The sequence below is a fragment of the Homo sapiens genome, chromosome 7 (genome assembly GCF_000001405.40).
Source record: "Homo sapiens chromosome 7, GRCh38.p14 Primary Assembly".
NCBI lineage: Eukaryota > Metazoa > Chordata > Mammalia > Primates > Hominidae > Homo > Homo sapiens.
Window position 1 is genome coordinate 21,017,904 of NC_000007.14, and position 20,008 is coordinate 21,037,911.

Sequence of the window (20,008 nt, forward strand, 5' to 3'; positions counted from 1 at the left end):
GGTGTTTATGAAATCTTTGTCTATTTCAAGGCCATGACATATGCTCCTAAGTTTTCTCCTAAAAGCTTTATTTTTTTACCTTTCACATTTAGATCTACAATCCAACTAGAATTGAATTTTGTGGATTGTGTGAGATAAAAAGTTCAACAGTTATTTGTTTTCAAATGGATATCCAATTGACCTAGCACCATTTATTGAAAAAAATAATTGTTATCCTTTCCCCAATGCACTGCAGTGTCAGCTTTGTCAAACATCAGGTGTCATGATGTGTTTGGGTCTGTTTCTGAATTCTAATTTGTTCCCCATTGGTTTATTTTCTATTCTTGCACTCACACCAGTCTGTTAGTCATTATTAAATATGGTAGTTCAGGTTCTAAAGTTATGTTCTTCAAAATTGCTATTCTTAAACCTTTATATGTTGCATACATTTTCGAATCAGCTTTTTCAAATTACAAACACACAAACACACACACATACTGCTGGGATAGTGATTAGGACTACAGTGAAACTATAGATCCATCAGAGGAGAACTGACATCTTTATACGATTCAGTCTTCCAATTCATCAACATGGCATATACTTCCGTTTATGTAGATATTCTTTAATTTATCACAATAATATTTTGCAGTATTTACTGTAGAATATCCTTAGTATGTTTTGCTAGCAAGTACTCTATATATTTTATTCTTTTGTAGATGATATTTTTAGTATTTTATCTTTTATGCTTTTGGTTGATTTATAGGAATACAATTGATTTTTGTATAGTGCCCTTCTACTAGTGGCCTTGCCAAATTTCTTGTTTGATTCCAATAGGTTGTATGTAGATCTTTTGGACTTTATACAGATGATAATGTCAAATTCAGTTAATAACAGATTTATTTCTGCCTTTCTGTGGACAGGACAATTAAAAATAACCACCAATTAAAAATTGAATCTAATTCTCTTCTTCCTGCCTTTCTTCCCTTGATCTTTCTTCCCTTGATCTACTAGTGGCCTTTATACTTGACTGACCAATAGAACATGGCAAAGGTGAAATCAGGCCAGTTTTGGGGATAGGCATTACTAGAACTGGCAGCTTTTACCTTGCCCTGTTGGGTCCCTGAACTGCTACATAAAAAATAAAGTATTCATACCCTATCTCCTACTAATTCCACTTTTGTATGACTCAAACATAAAAAATAAAAATAGAAAATGCAGACAAAACATTATGCACAAAATTGTTATTGACTATGGTGCAAAACTATATGTAACCTAATTGACTAATAATAAATGGTTACATAATTTTAAATGAAATAAAATGAAATGAAACTACTCTGAGACTTTCATTCTGTAAGGAATCCCAAGCCATGGGACATGGCCAGCTTAAGACATGCTGGTCAACAGTCCCAGCTGAGCCCAAACATTTCAGCTATCCTTGCCAAGGTACCAGGCATGTGAGTGGGGCCATCTTGTATCCTCCAAACCTGCCCATCTTCTAGCTGAGTACTATTGAGTGGCTTCGGTTGATGCCATGTGGAATAGAAGAATAAACCAGCCAAGGCCTGTCTAAATTTCTGACCCACAAACATTGTGATATATAAAAAAAATGCTGTTGTCTTAAGTTATTAGGTTTGGGCATAATTTTCTATAAAGCAATATATTTAGTTTCATGAAATGTGGACTAGAAGTGGTGACAGTAGCCGGACTTATATTTTTACATACATATATATATATATATAATTTGAAATTTTTGTGCATGTGTGCAAGTGCATGTGTGTGTAATAGGATTTTGAATCTTGTTTATTTCTTCTTGAACAGCATTTTAGGATAGTACATATAAATATACATAATTATTGATTATGACTATAATTAAGTAGGGATGATAATAAAAGTCCATAGGGGTTTTGTGAAAAAATAAATTATTACTTAAGTTTTTTAGACTTACAACAATATTTTGAAATATAATTAATACTCAATAAATTAGTAATTACTATTTTCATTACTGAAATTTATTTTTTCCAAGTGTTTGCTGCTTCAAATAATCAGCAATGAATATCACCGTACTATAGTTTTATGTGTTCATGCTGTAGTTTCTGCAATATTCCACAGTCCTGTGGTTGAATGTGCATATTTATAATTTTTATAAATAATGACAAATTTGGCTGGGAGTGGTGGGTCACACCTGTAATACCAGCACTTTGGGAGGCAGAGGCAGGCAGATCACCTGAGGTCAGGAGTTCAAGACCAGCCTGGCTAACATGGTGAAACCCTATTTCCACTAAAAATACAAAAAATTAGCCGGGCGTGGTGGCATGCGCCTATAATCCTAGCTACTTCGGAGGTTGAGGCAAGAGAATCTCTTGAACCTGGGAGGCAGAGGTTGCCGTGAGCCGAGATTGTGCCATTGCACTCCAGCTTGGGCAACAAGAGGGAAACTCCATCTCAAAAAAAAAAAAGACAAATTTACATTTTTCTCCTATAAAGCTCTAAAACTCACCTCTTTCATGAGTCATTCATAGCAAACATTTATTTAACTCTGATTACAGTAACAAACTCACAAATTTCCTTGGGACTTATATGCAATTCTGATTAATTTATGTTTAATACAACTGATTTGTCATTCTTATTAATAATAGCCTGAAGTACTTATATGTGCCAGGCATCAAAAAAAGGTTAAATCATTTTCCCAATATCATATAATACATAAATGTTGAACAAGAATCAAAGGTGGTTTCATTTTAATCCAAAGCCTGTGCTCTCGACTGTGATGCTATGATTCTTCTCAGAGCAAATCTGCCTTCTAATTTAATTCTTGCAAGAAGCAAAGATTAAAGAGTTAATTAATCTGCCCAAAGCCACACGAAAAAAGGCCACTTAATTTATATTCTAAAGTTTCATTGTAAACTTCTTGTCAGATTTCTTTTTCTACTTCTCAAACCGCAGACATGGAAAAAAACCAATTAATGCTGACTCTCTAACCCACAGGCTAATATATCTGACCACACTGGCTCTGCAAGACCATGGCTGAAGACTGCTTAAATGTTGTCCCTGAGTCAATATCTTAACATTTATTGCATCTTTTATTTTCTTAACAAAAATGAAGGCATTTGTGACTGTGTTGGTAAGTTATTTACAGTGAAAATATACTATATACTACTATAAATAAATCTACTCATTAAATAGAAATGCATGTCACATAACTGCACTGATAGCTGCTGTTTCCTTACATAATTGAGGGTGTGCCTTCCCCTAATCATGACCGAGGCTCCCTTTATAGTCCTTCACGTTCACCTTGGCTGATAGATTGAAATAAAGCTGCGACCCTTGCATCGAGAGTCTGATCATAGTTTTTCTTTATGGGTTTCTTCATTTTACATCCAGGTTATCATCTCCTGTTGGATGTATTGGTCTTCAATAATCTGCTTAGTCAGAAGTCTGAAGTAACTTAATTTATAACAACAACAAAAATCTTCCACTATCTTTCTCCCTGAATCAATAGGGTTTTCCCATTCTTATGACATAAACCTAGCCACCGTCACCAAATACTATATAACATTTTGAGCTATAGCATTTGCCTCTAAATAGTCTTTTTTTAATCAGATCAGATGGCATTATGCATCTCACGTGGTGCTGAAAAATAACATTCCCTGGCTTTACATAGTGTTGGCTATTGCATTATAAATTCCCACAATATAGGAGGATGGTGACAGAAGTATCAAGTCCCACCCATTCTTTGCTATCTAGAGAATACTTTATGTTTCTTGCTTATTTATAATGGAATTTTTAATCATTGTGTCACTCAAATGTGGCAAGTATTGATTTGGTATCTAAAATACTTCATTATTCTGGAATGCTTTTCCAGTGGATTCTGCTTCAAGAGAATCCACAAAGTTGCTACATTTTATCTTAAGAAGGAATAGAATAGAAATTTAATAGAAGTGTTGATTGACACAGATGTGTTTCTTTTTCTTTACAGTTTTCCATCAAAAATTGGGAATCATGCCCTTTCATACAACACAGTTGTGGTAAGTAGAAGTAAAAGTGTTTGCTCATCATTAAGAATTGATCCATCACTTTTTAAGAGAAAATGAGTGGTTACATTTACATTAAAGAGCCAAGCTTTTAATTTTTGAATAATGACTCAATTCAAACTTCTTTGATTTGCATATTGGAGACACAATTTGTTGAAGTGAAAGAACACTGGAACAGAAACAAGAATACCTGAGATGGAGACTCACCTCTTACCATCAATCTAGTGTTGACTTTGGGTAAACTACTTAATCTCTTTAGCATCTGCATCCTCACTTGTAAAATGAGAGGTTTAAATTACAGTTTCCTTCCAGCTGTAAGAATCCGTAACATTATTTATTATACAGAAGGAATTTTCATTAAACATCTTAGAATTTATATTTCTATCTTTTAAACATTTTATTATTTTATAACACCAGAAATTAAGAAATGTTACGCCTGATATCCCACTAACAGTGTCCTTTGCTGGACTGGCAAGTACAACATGGCTATATGCTGTACTAAATATGCTATGTGCTATTGCTAAAGCTATAGCAGTTCTACTATGGTGCCTTTTAAAATTCTGCCCTAGACTAATACATTATATCTTCTAATTAAACCTTAACAATGAGCATACAATCGAGAATCATTAAACATTTACTCAACAAATACAAGTTTAGCTATTTATTGAATAAAGTATACCTATGAAGTCAATTTAACCTAGATTTTAGTCAAGTATGAATCTACCTATCTATCATCTCTCTCTTTCTCTGTATCTATCATGTCTGGGTACATATTTATTCAAGTTATTTTTAAATTTTATTTTTAATTATTATGGGTACATAATAGTTGTACATATTTATGGGGTATGTGTGATGTTTTGATACAGGCATACAAAATGTAATGATCAAATCAGGGTGATTGTGGTATCCATCACCTCAAACATTTATAATTTATTTGTGTTAGGAGCATTCCAATTCCACTAGTTCATTTCCCTAAGATGTATGATAAGTTACTGTTAGCTATAGTCACCCTATTGTGCTGTCAAATACTAGATTTTATTCATTCTAATTGTATTTTTGTACTCATTAACCATCTCCACCTTACGCCCCATATTTTTATATCCATTAATCATTCAAATTTTGTTGTATTGTTTTTCAGTGAAAATTGTAGAGGATATTGGTATTTGATTTACCTACAACCTGGGACAAAATTGACCCCACTGTTTTTTTTCTTCCTAGGTCCATCTTTTCTTCTGGGGTAGTAGAAAGATCAAGATCATCAGAGAACGTAGGGTGCAATATCAGCTCTCCAGTACCAAACACGGTTCATTAACCTCTCGGAACCTCAGGTGTCTTGGGGCATAGTTCATGTCTCCTGGCCCATCTCACAGGATTATCAGGAGGACGAATGAGATAAGTGAGTGCATTTTGTAAATTGTGAAGTGCTAAATAAATGCAAGGTAATGCAATATTAATTGTGAAGTCTTCACTCAAGCTATTAGTTCATTAACATACACTCGGCAAATGGCTTTGAGTACCTGGTATGTGGCACAGGCACTGTTTTAAGCATTGGGAATCAGCAGTCAAAAAAGCAGATAAGACTGTCTTGGGGCAGTGGGAAAAAGACATTAAAAAGGTAAAAAAAGATTTCAAATAATCATCATTGACAAGAAAATTAAAATAAGATGTTTCGACAGTTGAGGGACAACTATAAATGGTCATCTCTGTGAGGAGTGATTTTCAAGCTAAGACTTGGATGAAAAGATGGTGTGAGTCAAATCACTCAGGGAAGAGCACTCCCTTGGAAGGGAAGAATAAGTACAAGGACCCTAAGGCAGGAACCAGTTTCATGTTTTAAGAACACAAATAATCTCTGTGGCTGATGTATTGAGTAAGGGTAAAGGTAAAGTGAGATAAGTTAAATGAAATAGAATTTGCATTCCCCAGAAAATGACAGAATATTCTAGAATTTTGGTATACTGTAGACTAAAGATGTTTTTCACGTGAAATGGTGCAGCTGCTCTGTCTTAAAAAGATTTAGAGTAAACCTTGGGGGCCAACAGCTCTATACAGGTTAATAAAAACTTCATGACACCTACATGCTATTTCCTGAAGACTTGTTTTGGGGAAGTTGGACTTCAAAGGAGAAATCATAACCAACGTGTTTTCATCATTAGGTGAAAGCCAGTTTCCTTTGTGAGAGTACTATAGAACAAGCTTCAAATTTTCTGCCCATCAGGTTTGTCAGACAGTATTTCTGTTCAGGAGGAGGTAAACTACCCAGTGTCTAAAGCTATTCCCATTATGCCTACATGCGCCCATGGCAATTTTTTTTCTTCAGCAATAGGTGTCACTAAGAGGTAGCTGGGGAATACTAAGACCGACTTGCTTCAAAAGGATCTCAAATCATTCAGTCTATCAACCACAAGGGCACCCTATTCCCTCCTTCCCCACCTCCTGCCCAGCCCTGACTTCAGCCTGTTTTCAAGAAAGGCAATATAGCAGCAGCCGTTTTTTGTTTTGTTTTGCTGTATTTGCCTCAGACTCCCTGCCCGAGCCTAGGAGAAGCAGTGTCCCAAACCCTGCCATAACCAATACACAGGCGCTTTTCACTTAACTTTAAGTCAAATTCTAATTATTCAGCGATGTGAAAACAAGCATCAAAGGGAGAGGCAGTGTGGAAGAGCAGCAAAAGCACTGGATTGGCAGTCAAGGAGACAGAGTTCAGCTTTAGATGTGCCTGCTTCTGGAGCCTCAGTTCCCTTGTGTACAATCACGATGAAAATATTTCCCTGCTGTTCTGACAGGGTTCTAAAGGGAATTAAGTAGCTGTTATCTGCAGAAAGCGCTTTGTGAACCTAGGCTGCTATATAAAAATGGAGTGGGGAGAAATGGAGTAGTTCTGAATTGGCGAGTTTGTTTTCATTGACTGCCAGGTATAGGAAGGGCACTGAAGAAGCAAGACAGGGGCTGAGAGTCTGAAAAATATACCCTTTGCCATGAAGACACTAGAATTTATGCTAGGGAGCAGAGATCATGTATTAAGGGGCTACTGTACAGCACAGCTCTGGAAGGCATCGTTTGCACTGTAGTCTACGCATACATTTGAAAGGGTTAAGTAAGAATGTAAGTACATTCAATTAAAGGATAGGCAGTAAGTGATGGAGGAGCTCAGTGCCTGGAGACCTTGAAGAAAGAAGAAAACAAGGGATGAGATTTCAGCTACTAGGTAGAAAAGGAAACCTTCTGATGGGAACAAGAATAGAGACAAACGATCTCCAGTAAATTTAAGAACATGAGAATAATTGGGTGTCCTTTCAGTAGGGGTACGAGAAAGTGGTGTGACTTTTTTGTTCTTTTCTAAACTTTTTTTTTTTTAACATGGGAATAGTTTGGGGACTTTAAAAAATAATACTATGGCACCTGCCTATTCTTTCTCAATTCAAATGAAACTTAGCATCTGTTCTAAAAGCACTAGGAAAAGCCCAAGAGGAGAGCGAAGTGCCCGACAGCTAGAACCTTTGTGTTCTTATCTTTTTGCAGTATAATTTTTATTGACCCATGATCTGTTAACTTCTTTCCTCATTCGATGTAAAAAGATGATGACATAAATGTCTTTCAGAGACTTTATATATTTTCAAATGCAGAAAAGGCCCTGTGGTTGCTGTCAAGCTAAGGGATTCAATATCCCTGAGAACATCCATTCCAATAACACTGGCCACTCAGAATGTGTTTGTGCCTGTGAGAGCACACATATGTGCATGCATGTAAATTCTGTGTCTAAAATACTACAGTCCATGACAATGGTCTTACTCTTCAATAAAATTCAGACATTTAGGGCTTCACAAGGTCCAGTATTTCTTAATATTATAAGACAAAAAAAGTTGAATTAAAGAATTTAGTTCACGGTTTAATTAAATTTGTAATTTCAAAATTACATTTGCATCTGAGTGTTAACTGTATTTGAGTAAATAAATGAGCAAAAAAGACTTAAGCATTTCTGTGAAATTGGGTCAATCATGACAAATTTTTACTGTGGTTCATTTTTTGTCCCTCTTTTACTATATAGCCTTTGATTTTTTAAAATGGTCCCATGTTTTATTGTTGACATTTTATTTCAATATCTGATTTGAAAACAGCAGACAGATCCCCTGTGAATTTTAAAGAGATATCTGCTTTCTTTCATCACAGCTGCTCAGCCTTGGTGGATTGGCTGGGATTTTTTTTTTTTTTTTTTTTTTTGGATTATTATTGTATTACTTGTGAGAGGAGAAGGAGACAATGCGAACCAATATTCTGATGATAAAGATTTGGCAATCGAGTCATGTCATCATGTCTCTTTTCTCTTTCTCATTGGAGTTTTTGCAAAAGCAGAAACAGTGACTTTTTTCAACACCTGCATCTTTAACAACCAGAGCAGTGTAATTACCTTTCTTGAATATTCTATAGAATTGTCAAACAGCAATTTTCTTTCACAAGGGTGGCTTTTAAATAATGTCGTTTACATACAGAGTTTAACATCTCTTAAAGTAAAAATCTAATTATAAGAAACTAAAATTTACTGCATGTTTATAATTTGATCTTTATAAAATTGTTAATCAGGGTACCTTAACATATATTATGAAGCAGAAAAAGTACATGTAGTCAGATTAAACTAAATATTTTGGAGTTTCTTGAATATATGTTAATTTCTATCACTATTACTGGTATTAACACTATTTGGTATTTTATTGCATTGCTCTTGAATTCAACAATTTGTGGAGAGAGGTGGCTCACAATGACATGTTTTCTCAAGATCATCTGATGTCATCGTTTCCTCTTTGTTAATGAAAACTATCAATATTTAAAAAGAACTGTCATTGTAGTTTATGTATAGACAATAAATGGCATAGTCAAGCCAGCTGAGATAATTCTTCCAACGGACACATTAGATAATAATGCCAATACTAAATAATATTAGAATTTAGGTAACGTACTGCCATTTGATAAAGTGGCTCATGCCCAGATTGTATACACACTTATCATCTTTGGCATCTGATTTTATAATTTTTGAAGTGCAGATGGGATTGTCAACCACTGGAAGGAGTGATACTTCAATATTTTACTACAAGGTGAATGTTAAAGTGAAAATTTTAACATATCCCCACATTATTTCATTCTGGTACAAGCTCTAAATTAATGTTATGAAATGTTATGAGCATACCTATAAACCTATCGCTTACAAAAAATTAAAGAGTATCTTTTATAATCTTCAAATTGTCACTCTGGCAATTCCTCTATTGCCCCACACTATTCTCAGAATGTCGACTCGGCTACATTTTCCTCCTGTGCTTCTGTTCAGAATTTCTGTTCTCTATGCCAATTTATGCCCAAGGAGTCTGTAAATCTTTTGTATCTTTTTCTAAGCATGTTCTCCATGGAAAAGATAATCAGCCTGAAGTCTAATGTACAACCTTCTTAGGCGCTTTCTCAAAAGCACACTCTATCATTCTTTTAAAAAAATTACAAATTAAAAAAAGAATTTTAATGGAGTCTTACATGGCATTGTTTTGAATTTCCATCAACTGTCTAGATAACCAGTATTTCTTTATATAGCTCCATTCTATAGACATATTACTGTCATGTAAAATAATTTTTAGACTGTTTATATCTTGGTCATATACAATATGATTTTTGTGCCTGAAATCTTAAGTATGCCAGCAGGAAGAATCACCAAGTCTGAAATGCTAGAAATGTATTCTTTATGCTATGATACTCAGTTTAAATCTTGACATTTCCTGTTTGGAAAATAACATTTGCAAAAGAAAGTGATACTCAAAATATTCCACCTATTCATAAATGATCTCAATAGCCATATTTTATTACATAAAACTTGTTACAATTCTTATTTCCCTCCTGTATTTCTAGGCCCTCCATAAAATACACGTGTGATGGTAGGTATGTGTGTATCTGGGTTGCGTGTACTTCACATGCAAATGCCAGAAACAAAAAAAGTAGCACATTCATTCAACTTCTATGTGAACATAATGTTACCAAAGTGAAAAGGCAATTCTCTCCCTCTTTTTTTTTTTAACTTTGCTTTCTCTAGCATCCGCTTTAGATTTTATAGGGTTTCTCTCATACTATCTTAACTGGATTAAAGAGTAAGAACAAGTTTTCTCCATTACAAAATTCTCATTTAATCCTTATCCACACTTAATTTATCAAATTAAATCAGACAAGATTGATGCCAGGGCTTTTTAAGCCGGACATCGTGTGTAAAATCGGCAGACAAGGGTTTGTAAAGGGTGCCCACCGTGACTTGTCATAGCCTCTTGCCTCAGCTGCCCTCGCCTCGATCCAGGCGGGGTCAGGATGCTTCTTGGTGTTCCACTGTGGGCTCGGCGGGGAAACAGCAGCTACACAGCCTCCAGCAGAGTTACTTATTACACCCTCGCCTCCTTCACCTGCCCCGGCCATTCAAAATAACATCACACCATAAAATATTCATGAACCGCGCCATGCTGCAGCCAGGGCTCGCTACTGCAGGTGGCTGTTACATCAGTAATTGCTCAATACTTCCCTCCACAGCGTAAAATTGTTTTCATTATGTGTCATGAACACAGAGCCAAGCAAAGCCCTCTTGAGTGGTTTCCCAAGGGCTGGAGGGAGGTGGTACTTAACTTAAACAGGCGCTTTTTGGCTTAGATTTAAAAATAAATAGATAAAAAATAAAGGGAGAAGCCAGTGAAAGCTCATCATTAACTCTCCTTCTAAGTGCACAAAAAGCAGAAGCTCATGCAAAACTCTCATAAAGATTATCCTAAATGTCTCAGTTACTAGGAAGAGCTTTAGGGGTTTTAGCGGGTCTTACGATACTTCAAGCTGCAGAGAAGAGAATAACTTTCCACCTGACTGAAGTTCCCATGGAGTGCAGAGCTCTGGGATAAGCAGGTTTCAGCAATAAACTCCTGCATTGTGAGGCAATAATGCCCAGCCAGGTCCCCGCATTTTGATTCAAGGGTGTCTTTTTCTTTCCCCCCTGTGGAGGACTAATCACAGCTCCACTTTGTTTAATTGCAGCAAAGAGAGAAATGTGTTTAAGAAGTCATTCTGGACCCCTTTAAATGAATGCTGGGGTTCTTCAAGGACAACAAACAGGATGCATAATAAATAAGCTTTAATTTTCAGATCAAAATAGGCAAAGTTAAAGATTTTTAGTGACTGATCTGGGAGAGATGCTGCTGTCAAGAGACCAGAAACTGCGGGGGAAAGGGCGGGGAAAGCAACAAGTGGATTACAGTCTTGGTTTTTATACAGCACAAGCTGTTTTTGCATGGTGGGAGGATCCTTACAGGAATAAAATCTTTACGGAATTGGGAGCTAGTCGATTTCCCTTAGCATTTTGATTCTGATTTAGAAAGAAGAAAGAAAGGAAGGAAGGGAAAGAGAAAGAGAAAGAAAAAATGTCCTTCTTGTAAACAATGTTAAACCTCGGTAATTGACAGATTCGCCTCCCCTCATTTTCAAGCTCAGGCCTAGTTGGGTGCAATATGTGCGGTGAGATGGCCTCAGGGTCATGAACTCCCGGGGTTGGGAGGAAAAGCATTTATCCATCACATGCTTTCTTTCTGAGTTTGACAAAACTAAGCCCCAGACCAAATGATTGGGAAGCACCCCTTTTGATCTATTTAAAATCTGTTTATTTCTTACCTCTCTGGCCTAAGCATCTTCTTAAAGGAAAGTTAACTATTTCCCTCTTGTAAGATGAGTATTTGCTGATCCTTATCACTTTCTTTAGAAAATATTTACCATGGATGTTACGGCAAAATTTTCCAATACTGTAGCTATCTGGAACGGTATTTTCAAACTTGAAAATGTATAATACAAATCCCCTATTTCAAAACCATGATCTACAAATGTCTACAGTTTGTCTTTTTTTTTTTTTTCCTGAAAGGAGATTTTTTTAATCAACCCCTCTATGGAGAAAGTATTACAAAAAATTTTAAAAATTTATGGCACAGTTCTGATAGTATTTTTTTCAGTAACATACTATCCATTGATAACAAATCGACCATAGATAACTGTTAGTCCCATAAATTGAAGAAGGCAATGGGCATAAAACCACTCATGAGCATCTGCTGCAGGGGGTTTTCCTCTGGGTTAAATGGAAGATGTGAGGTTATTTAATGTCCTGCAAAAACTATGTAGAATGAGCGTGTGTGTGTGTGTGTGTGTGTGTGTGTGTGTATGTGTGTCTGCCATATACATATGTATCCTGAATGATGGATTTCCTTTGCATCTGGTAACTATAGACTTTTTTTCCTCTGAATACAGCAAATGACTGTTTCAAAATGAAAATCACTATGTGTTTGAATGTTGTATTATGCCTAGTCCCTTTTTGAGTGAAAGGCGGCTTTAAAAAGTAAGGTATATCATTGCCAAAAAGGGGCTAAATAGTATTGTCAGCATTTTGAGAAGGAATAGGTCCTTTTTCGCCTTCCGTCTCAAACTCTTTTCTGGACAGCTGTTAGTGACTTAGCGAACTTTTCATATGGATATGTATGTTAATGGCAGGCAATGAACTGGAGATGGAGAGGCCCAAACACAGGCCCAACTCTTCAGTGCACATCAAAAGCCTTTACAAAAGGAGCAGTAAAAGAGGCAGCGATGGCGGAGCCTTCACTTTTGTACCCTGAATTAGTTCTGCAAGCAATGAAACTGATCTTTTCTCCTTGCCAGAAAAGTCTGCTGATTTTTGTGAGTGCTCATTAGCACAAGAGGCATTTGTGAAGATAATTGACTGACGCTGATACTGCTGGCTGTCACAACAGTGCCAGCCAGCAGTGTATGTGCATTTTAATAGTTGTATTTTTTTTCTTTCTTAGACTTCATGGTTTCTAAAAGATACCAGTCTTCCAAAGGTTTACACTCTTCTTTGAAGCAGAAGGTTTTAAAATCTTTTCTTTGAAAACTGACAGCCAACCTTACTTTTTAAAATATCATATTTCTATGGGGTACCTGGTATGGATGCATAATGTAAAAGGTATCTATTCAATGCATGCAACTGGACAGAAATTATGCAGTTGTAGATCCAGATTATTCTGATATCACATGGACATTCAGGAAATAGTGGGTACCATCCAGTTCCTGGAATACAAGCTATCATCCTGGAGAAATAACAAATAAGGCAATATTCCACTTTGTCATCAGCAACTACAATAATTTCATACATTTTCAAACATTTTTTAGTTTTCTTTTTTGTAGACATATTCATAAAATTAGAAAATTAGGGGGGAAAGGGAAGTATTTTTGGAAATTCTAACTTAGTCATGCTTTGACATGAGGTGGATCTTTTATATGATGGTACCACCCAGAATGGGACTCTGAAGTATCAAAGCATAGATGTCAGAGGACAATTGAGTCTCTGTGCTCACACTGTCAAGGAATTCTGCAGGGAACACGATGTGAACGTTCCTTTTCACTCGAGTTTTTGCTGCCAATTCACAACATATCGTAGAAACCTGTGTTACTTGGTTGACATATGCCTTCTCTCTTTTCTAAAGGAACTTCTAAAACATTTACTTTAATTAATTATACATTTATCAGTTCTTTGTGTGGAAGAGCATATCTGGGAATTTATGTGTCATTGCAGCAAAATACAGACTTCGTAAGTGTCTTGTCCCAAATGAATGGTATATAATAGCAATATGTTAAATCTTCTGTAATCTATATGTGTATTAAGCTGTTTAAGGACTCTGTACATTGAATATGCTCAGAATAGTATTTTTCTAAAGCACTTCAGAAGCCTGCCTAGTTATAACATGTGACAGAGAGTATTTTCTTTGAGAGAAAAATAAGTTATTTTCTCAAGTTAAGGATGACAGAATAAGTTGAGTGAGGGTGAGAGTTACTTCTGTGCTATGACTACTTTTGAATGAAAATAAGTTGTCTACTTTACCCTCTGATATATATATATATATATATATATATATATATATATATATATATATATTCCTGGCAGCTCAGCTCACTGATAAACTAGGCTGGTCTGAAAGGGCTCCAGGGGAGGGCAAAAAGGTTGGCTATTTCACTGAGCATGCTTTGAATCTGCTGCTTGATGTGCTTTTTATAAATAGGCTCTTGATTTCTCAAAATGTAGCCATTGTGTCAACATTTTCTGAAAAACCAGCCATTGAATCCTTGATGTTTCACCTTGGTGGGGTTGTATATGTTTACAGCACAGACAAGTACAAGTTAAAGTATTTTAGAAAAAGAATTGAAATTCTCTTGCCATTCTTTTTCACCACTTGGCTTTCCTTGCATGATATTCTGATAAGAGGGAAGCCAGCTAGCCATCCTTCAAAGGATGAAGTGGGGGATGTATGTATGAAGGGGTGTGTCTGGGGGGCGGCGCTTCTCCCCTTCTGTGCTAACCACTGCAAAGAGGATGTTAGAATGATGCATCAACATTTTCTTTACCCAACTATCATATAAAATCACATTTGTGAAAAAGTAGCTTAGTGAATAGTAATCCACACGTGATGAAGAGGATGACATGTGAAAAGCACTGAGTTCGAAAACAGTTAGGAAATAGGAAAAACAGACAGAAAATAGGAAAAGATACCCACATCCTAGGTTATTAGGCTTCTCCCTGCAGCCATACGTGAACTCATGTGGGGAAATGTAGTGGTCTCTTTTAATGAACAAGGATGGTCATCAATTCTCTCTTGAAGGTCCAATGTTGGAACAAGAAGTAATAGAATTGCAACAACTTAGAGACTTATCGAGCAATTCATTCCTCAAATATTTCCTACAATGTTATGGGCATTATTTGAGGCACTGGGATAAAATAAGTCTCTTTCTTCACAAAATTACATTCAAAAGGGGACATGAAAGTAGAAACAGATATTCCTAACTATGTGTCAGGTAGCAATGAATGTTATTGAGAAAAGTCGTAACAAAGGCTAAGTAGGTTGATAGTACTGGGGCTGCTATTTGATAGTGGTGCATGAGAGTCTCTCTAAAGAAAAGACACTTGAGTAGAGACTGAAAGAAGCGGGGAAGTAAACCACGTGAATATCTGAAGAGAGAACATTCCAGGACAAGTGGAGAAGCACAAGGACAAGTGGAGAAGTGCAAGAACGAATGTCCAGAGGAGTATGCTTGAAGAACTCCAGAAGTAGTAGGGTGGGCATAAGACTTTCCAAGTGATGCTAAACAGAGCTGTCTCCAGCATAATTCAGTGCATGCTGGGGTGGCATTATCTTCCTACTTTTAAACCCACGCAATGTAAGTGGCCCAGTCTTTGGTGGAAAGCATGCTCATACAAATGTATTTTAGACCAACAAGATCCAGTGTCTGTAATCAAATCACATATGCTGGAGGAATATGATGAAGCCTTGTAATCTTTTAATATTGAACATACAACTTGTAATCTTTTAATATTGAATATACACCTTTCGCTGATGATTTTCTACATGAGTTTGTGTTTATCATCTATTTCAATTGGTTTTTATTCATTTAATAGATAAAATGTGTTTGTTCTAGAATATCTTCATATATTTTTGAAGAAAGAAGAGGCTGACCAATTAAGAGGAGTGAAATTTGGAGGAAATTACTAACCTGATAATTAGAACACTGATAAAAGAAAAATGGGAGTCTCTAAGAACAAATGAGTAAACAATGTAATTGAAAATGATTTTAAGCAGTGAGTATATTCTGGGGAAGATTAGCTTGACAAATTCATCTAATTCAAATCATAAGAAAAATACAAAAAGAGACCTTACTACGTAATGCAGGATTTGCAAACCCACAGCCTAGGGCAGTAGGGCAGCAACAGTGATGGAAAAATCCACAGCTTGTCTTAAAGCTGCAACCTCTCATAATTCAGTGAGGGCCAGAGGACCCAGTGATCCAGGGCCTTCAGATTTTTCAAGAGGAGCCAGAATTATGTGAACTCATTCTATTTTTGACTGTTGGCAATTAATTTAGAAACACACATATAGGCCAGGCACAGGGGCTCACGCCTATAATCCCAGCACTTTGGGAGGCTGAGGTAGGTGTCTCACTTGAGATTAGGAGTTCGAAACCAGTGTGGCCAACCTGGTGAAACCCTGCCTCTACTAAAAATACAAGAAAAAATTAGCGGGCATGGTGGCTGGCACCTGTAATCCCAGCTCCTCTGAAGACTGAGGCAGGAGAATCACTTGAATCCATGAAGTGGAGGTTGCAGTGAGCCCAGATTGCACCACTGCACTCCAGCCTTGGTGACAGAGTGAGACCCTGTCTCAAAAACAAACAAAAAACATGTAAAGCATACCTATGGGCTGAATTCTGCCTGCTGCCATACAGTTTGCAACTTCTGATTTAAAGAAGACTTAAAGATTAAATTCTTTTCAATAAAATTCTATAATGAAAATGAAAGTCCTCATTTTTTCATTTTTTAACATTATTTTTATAGACAAATATTTTTATATGGAATATTATTGTACTAGTTAATTGTAATATAGTGTTTCCATGTTTCACGATGTGCTATTTGCCTGTTTAAACACTTTTGTGATTAAAAGCACAAATTTGGGTGCACCCATTTTGGTGCACAATTTTGGCGCATCCATCACCCAAGAAGTATACACTGCACCCTATTTGTGGTCTTTTATCCCTTGCCTCCCTCACACCCTCCCCTAATGTCCCCAAAGTCCGTTGTATCATTCTTATGCCTTTGCGTCCTCATAACTTAGCTCCCACATATCAGTGAGAACATACGATGTTTGGTTTTCCATTCCTGAGTTACTACACTTAGAGTAATAGTCTCCAATCTCACCCAGGTAGCTGTGAATGTTGTTAACTCATTTCTTTTTATGGTTGAGTAGTATTCCATGTATATATATATATACACACCACAGTTTCTTCACTCATTAGTTGATTGATGGGGATTTGGGTTGGTTCCATGATTTTTTTTTTTTTTTTTGAGATGGACTCTTGCTCTGTCACCTAGGCTGGAGTAAAGTGGCACGATCTCAGCTCACTGCAGCCTCCATCTCCTGGGTTCAAGGGATTCTACAACCTCAGCCTCCTGAGTAGCTGGGATTACAGGCACCCACCATCATGCCCAGCTAATTTTTGTAGAGACGGGATTTCACCATGTTGGCCAGGCTGGTCTCCAACTCCTGACCTCAGGTGATTCGCATGCCTCGGCCTCTCAAAGTGCTGAGATTACAGATGTGGGCCACTGCACCTGGCTGGTTCCACAATTTTGCAATTGCGAATCGTGCTGCTATAGACATGTGTGTGCAAGTGTCTTTTTTGTATAATGACTTCTTTTCCTCTGGGTAGATACCCAGTAGTGGGATTGCTGGATCAAATGGTGGGTCTACTTTTAGCTCTTTAAGAAATCTCCACACTGTTTTCCATAGTGGCTGTACTAGTTTACATTGCCGCCAGCAGTGTAAAAGTGTTCCCTGATCACCACATCCATGCAAACATCCACTGTTTTTTGCTTCTTTGCTTATGGCCATTCTTACAGGAGTAAGGTTAGGTATCGCATTGTGGTTGTGATTTGCACTTCTGTGATCATTAGTGATGTTGAGCATTTTTTCATGTTTGTTGTCCATTTGTCTATCTTCTTTTGAGAATTATCTATTCATCTCCTTAACCCACTTTTTGATGGGATTGTTTGCATTTTTCTTGCTGATTTGTTTGAGCTCATTGTTGATTCTGGATATTAGTCTTTTGTCAGATGTATAGATTTTGAAGACTTTTTCCTACTCTGTGGGTTGTCTGTTTACTCTGCTGACTGTTCATTTTGCTGTGCAAAAAGCTCTTTAGTTTAATTAAGTCCCAGCTACTTATCCTTGTTTTTATTGCATTTGCTTTTGGGTTCTTGGTCATGAAATCGTTGCCTAAGCCAACGTCTAGGAGGGTTTTTCCAATGTTATCTTCTAGAACGTTTATACCTTCAGGTCTTAGATTTAAGTCCTTAATCCATCTTGAGTTGATTTTTGTATAAGGTGAGAGATGAGGATCCAGTTTCATTCCCCTACAGGTGGCTAGTCAGTTATCGCAACACTATTTGTTGAAAAGGGTGTCTTTTCCCCACTTTATGTTTCTGTTGCTTTGTCGAAGATCAGCTGGCTGTAAGTATGTGAGTTTATTTCTGTGTTCTCTATTCTGTTCCATTGGTCTATGTGCCTATTTTTATACCAGTACCATGCTGTTTTCGTGACTATGGACTTAGAGTATAGCTTGAAATCAGGTAGTGCGATGCCTCCAGATTTGTTCTTTTTGCTTAGTCTTGCTTTGCAGGCTCTTTTTTGGTTCCATATGAATTTTAGAATTTTTTTTTTCTAATTCTGTGAAGAATAATGGTGGTATTTTGATGGTGATTTAGTTGAATTTGTAGATTGCTTTTGGCAGTGTGGTCATTTTCACAATATTGATTCTACCTATCCATGAGCATGGGATATGTTTCCATTTGTTTGTGTCATGTATGATTTCTTTCAGCAGTGTTTTGTAGTTTTCCTTGTAGAAGTCTTTCTCCTCTTTGGTAAGGTATATTCGTAAGTGTTTTTTTTGTTTTTGTTTTTTTTGGCAGCTATTGTAAAAGGGGTTGAGTTCTTGATTTGATTCTCTGCTTGGTCGCTGTTGGCGCATAGGAGAGCTACTGATTTGTGTACATTAATCTTCTATTTGGAAACTTTGCTGAATTCTTTGTTCAGTTCTCAGAGCTTTCTGGAGAAGTCTTTGGGGTTTTTGAGGTAAAGGATCATATCATCAGCAGTGACAGTTTGACTTCTTCTTTACCAATTTGGATGCCCTTTATTTCTTTCTCTTGTCTGATTGCTCTGGCTAGGACTTCCAGTACTATGTTGAAGAGGAGTGGTGAGAGTGGGCATCCTTGTCTTTTTCCATTCTCAGAGGGAATGCTTTCAACTTTTCCCCATTCAGTATTATGTTGGCTGTGCTTTTGTCATAGATGGCTTTTATTATGTTGAAGTATGTCCCTTGTCCACCGATTTTACTGAGAGTTTTAATCATAAAGCAATGCTGGATTTTATCAAATGCTTTTTCTGCATCTATTGAGATGATCAAGTGATTTTTTGTTTTTAATTCTGTTTACGTGGTACATCACATTTATTGACATGTGTGTATTAAACCATTCCTGCATCCCTGGTATGAAACCCACTTGATCATGGTGGATTATCTTTTTGATATGTTGTTGGATTTGGTTAGCTAGCATTTTGTTAAGGATTTTAGCATCTATGTTCATCAGGGATATGAGTCTATAGTTTTCTTTTTTGGTTATGTCCTTTCCTGGTTTTGGTATTATGGTGATGCTGGCTTCATAGAATGAATTAGGGAGGGTTCCGTCTTTCTCTATCTTGTGGAGTAGTGTCAATAGGATTGGTACCAATTCTTCTTTGAATGACTGGTAGAATTCTGCTGTGAATCCAGCTGGTCCTGGACTTTTTTTTGTTGGTAATTTTAAAATTACCATTTCAATCTTGCTGTTATCTAATTCTTCTGGGTATCTAATTCTTCCTGATTTAAGCTAGGAGGGTTGTATTTTTCAGGTATTTATTCATCTTTTCTTGGTTTTCAAGTTTATGTGCACAAAGGTATTCATAGTAGCCTTGAATGATCTTTTGTATTTCTGTGGTGTCAGTTGTAACATCTCCCATTTTGTTTCTTACTGAATTTAATAGGATTTTCTCTCTTCTTTTCTAGATGAATCTTGCTAATGGTCTATCAATTTTATTTTTTTCAAAGAACCAGCTTTTTGTTTCATTTATCTCTTTTTTTTGTTGTTGTCATTGTTTCAATTTCATTTAGTTCTGCTCTGATCTTGGTTATTTTCTTTCTTCTGCTGGGTTTGGGTTTGGTTGATTCTTGCTTCTCTAGTTCCTTGAGGTGTTACCTTAGAATGTGTTTGTGCTCTTTCAGTCTTTTTGATGTAGGAATTTAGGGCTATGAACTTTCCTCTTAGCACCGCCTTAGCTGTATCCCAGAGGATTTGATTGATTGTGTCATTATTATCATTT

At 36.5% G+C, this 20,008-nt stretch overlaps 1 long non-coding RNA gene across 1 annotated transcript in view, besides 1 other annotated feature; it reads left to right on the forward strand.

The window, feature by feature from the left end:
- The window catches only part of LINC01162 (long intergenic non-protein coding RNA 1162), a 187,718-nt gene extending 182,473 nt beyond the window's left edge, over positions 1–5,245 (forward strand). The window contains exons 3-6 of the long non-coding RNA NR_126381.1: positions 2,965–3,100; positions 3,956–4,004; positions 4,154–4,247; positions 5,229–5,245. This is a non-coding gene — a long non-coding RNA (long intergenic non-protein coding RNA 1162). The remainder of the gene's footprint in view (positions 1–2,964; positions 3,101–3,955; positions 4,005–4,153; positions 4,248–5,228) is intronic.
- Positions 12,136–12,866: an enhancer, noted in NCBI's record as "OCT4-NANOG hESC enhancer chr7:21069658-21070388 (GRCh37/hg19 assembly coordinates)". NCBI's record gives its function as "activates a minimal SCP1, AML or CMV promoter by ChIP-STARR-seq in naive and primed H9 embryonic stem cells {active_cell/tissue: H9 hESC(naive and primed)}" and the evidence as "EXISTENCE:reporter gene assay evidence [ECO:0000049][PMID:30033119]".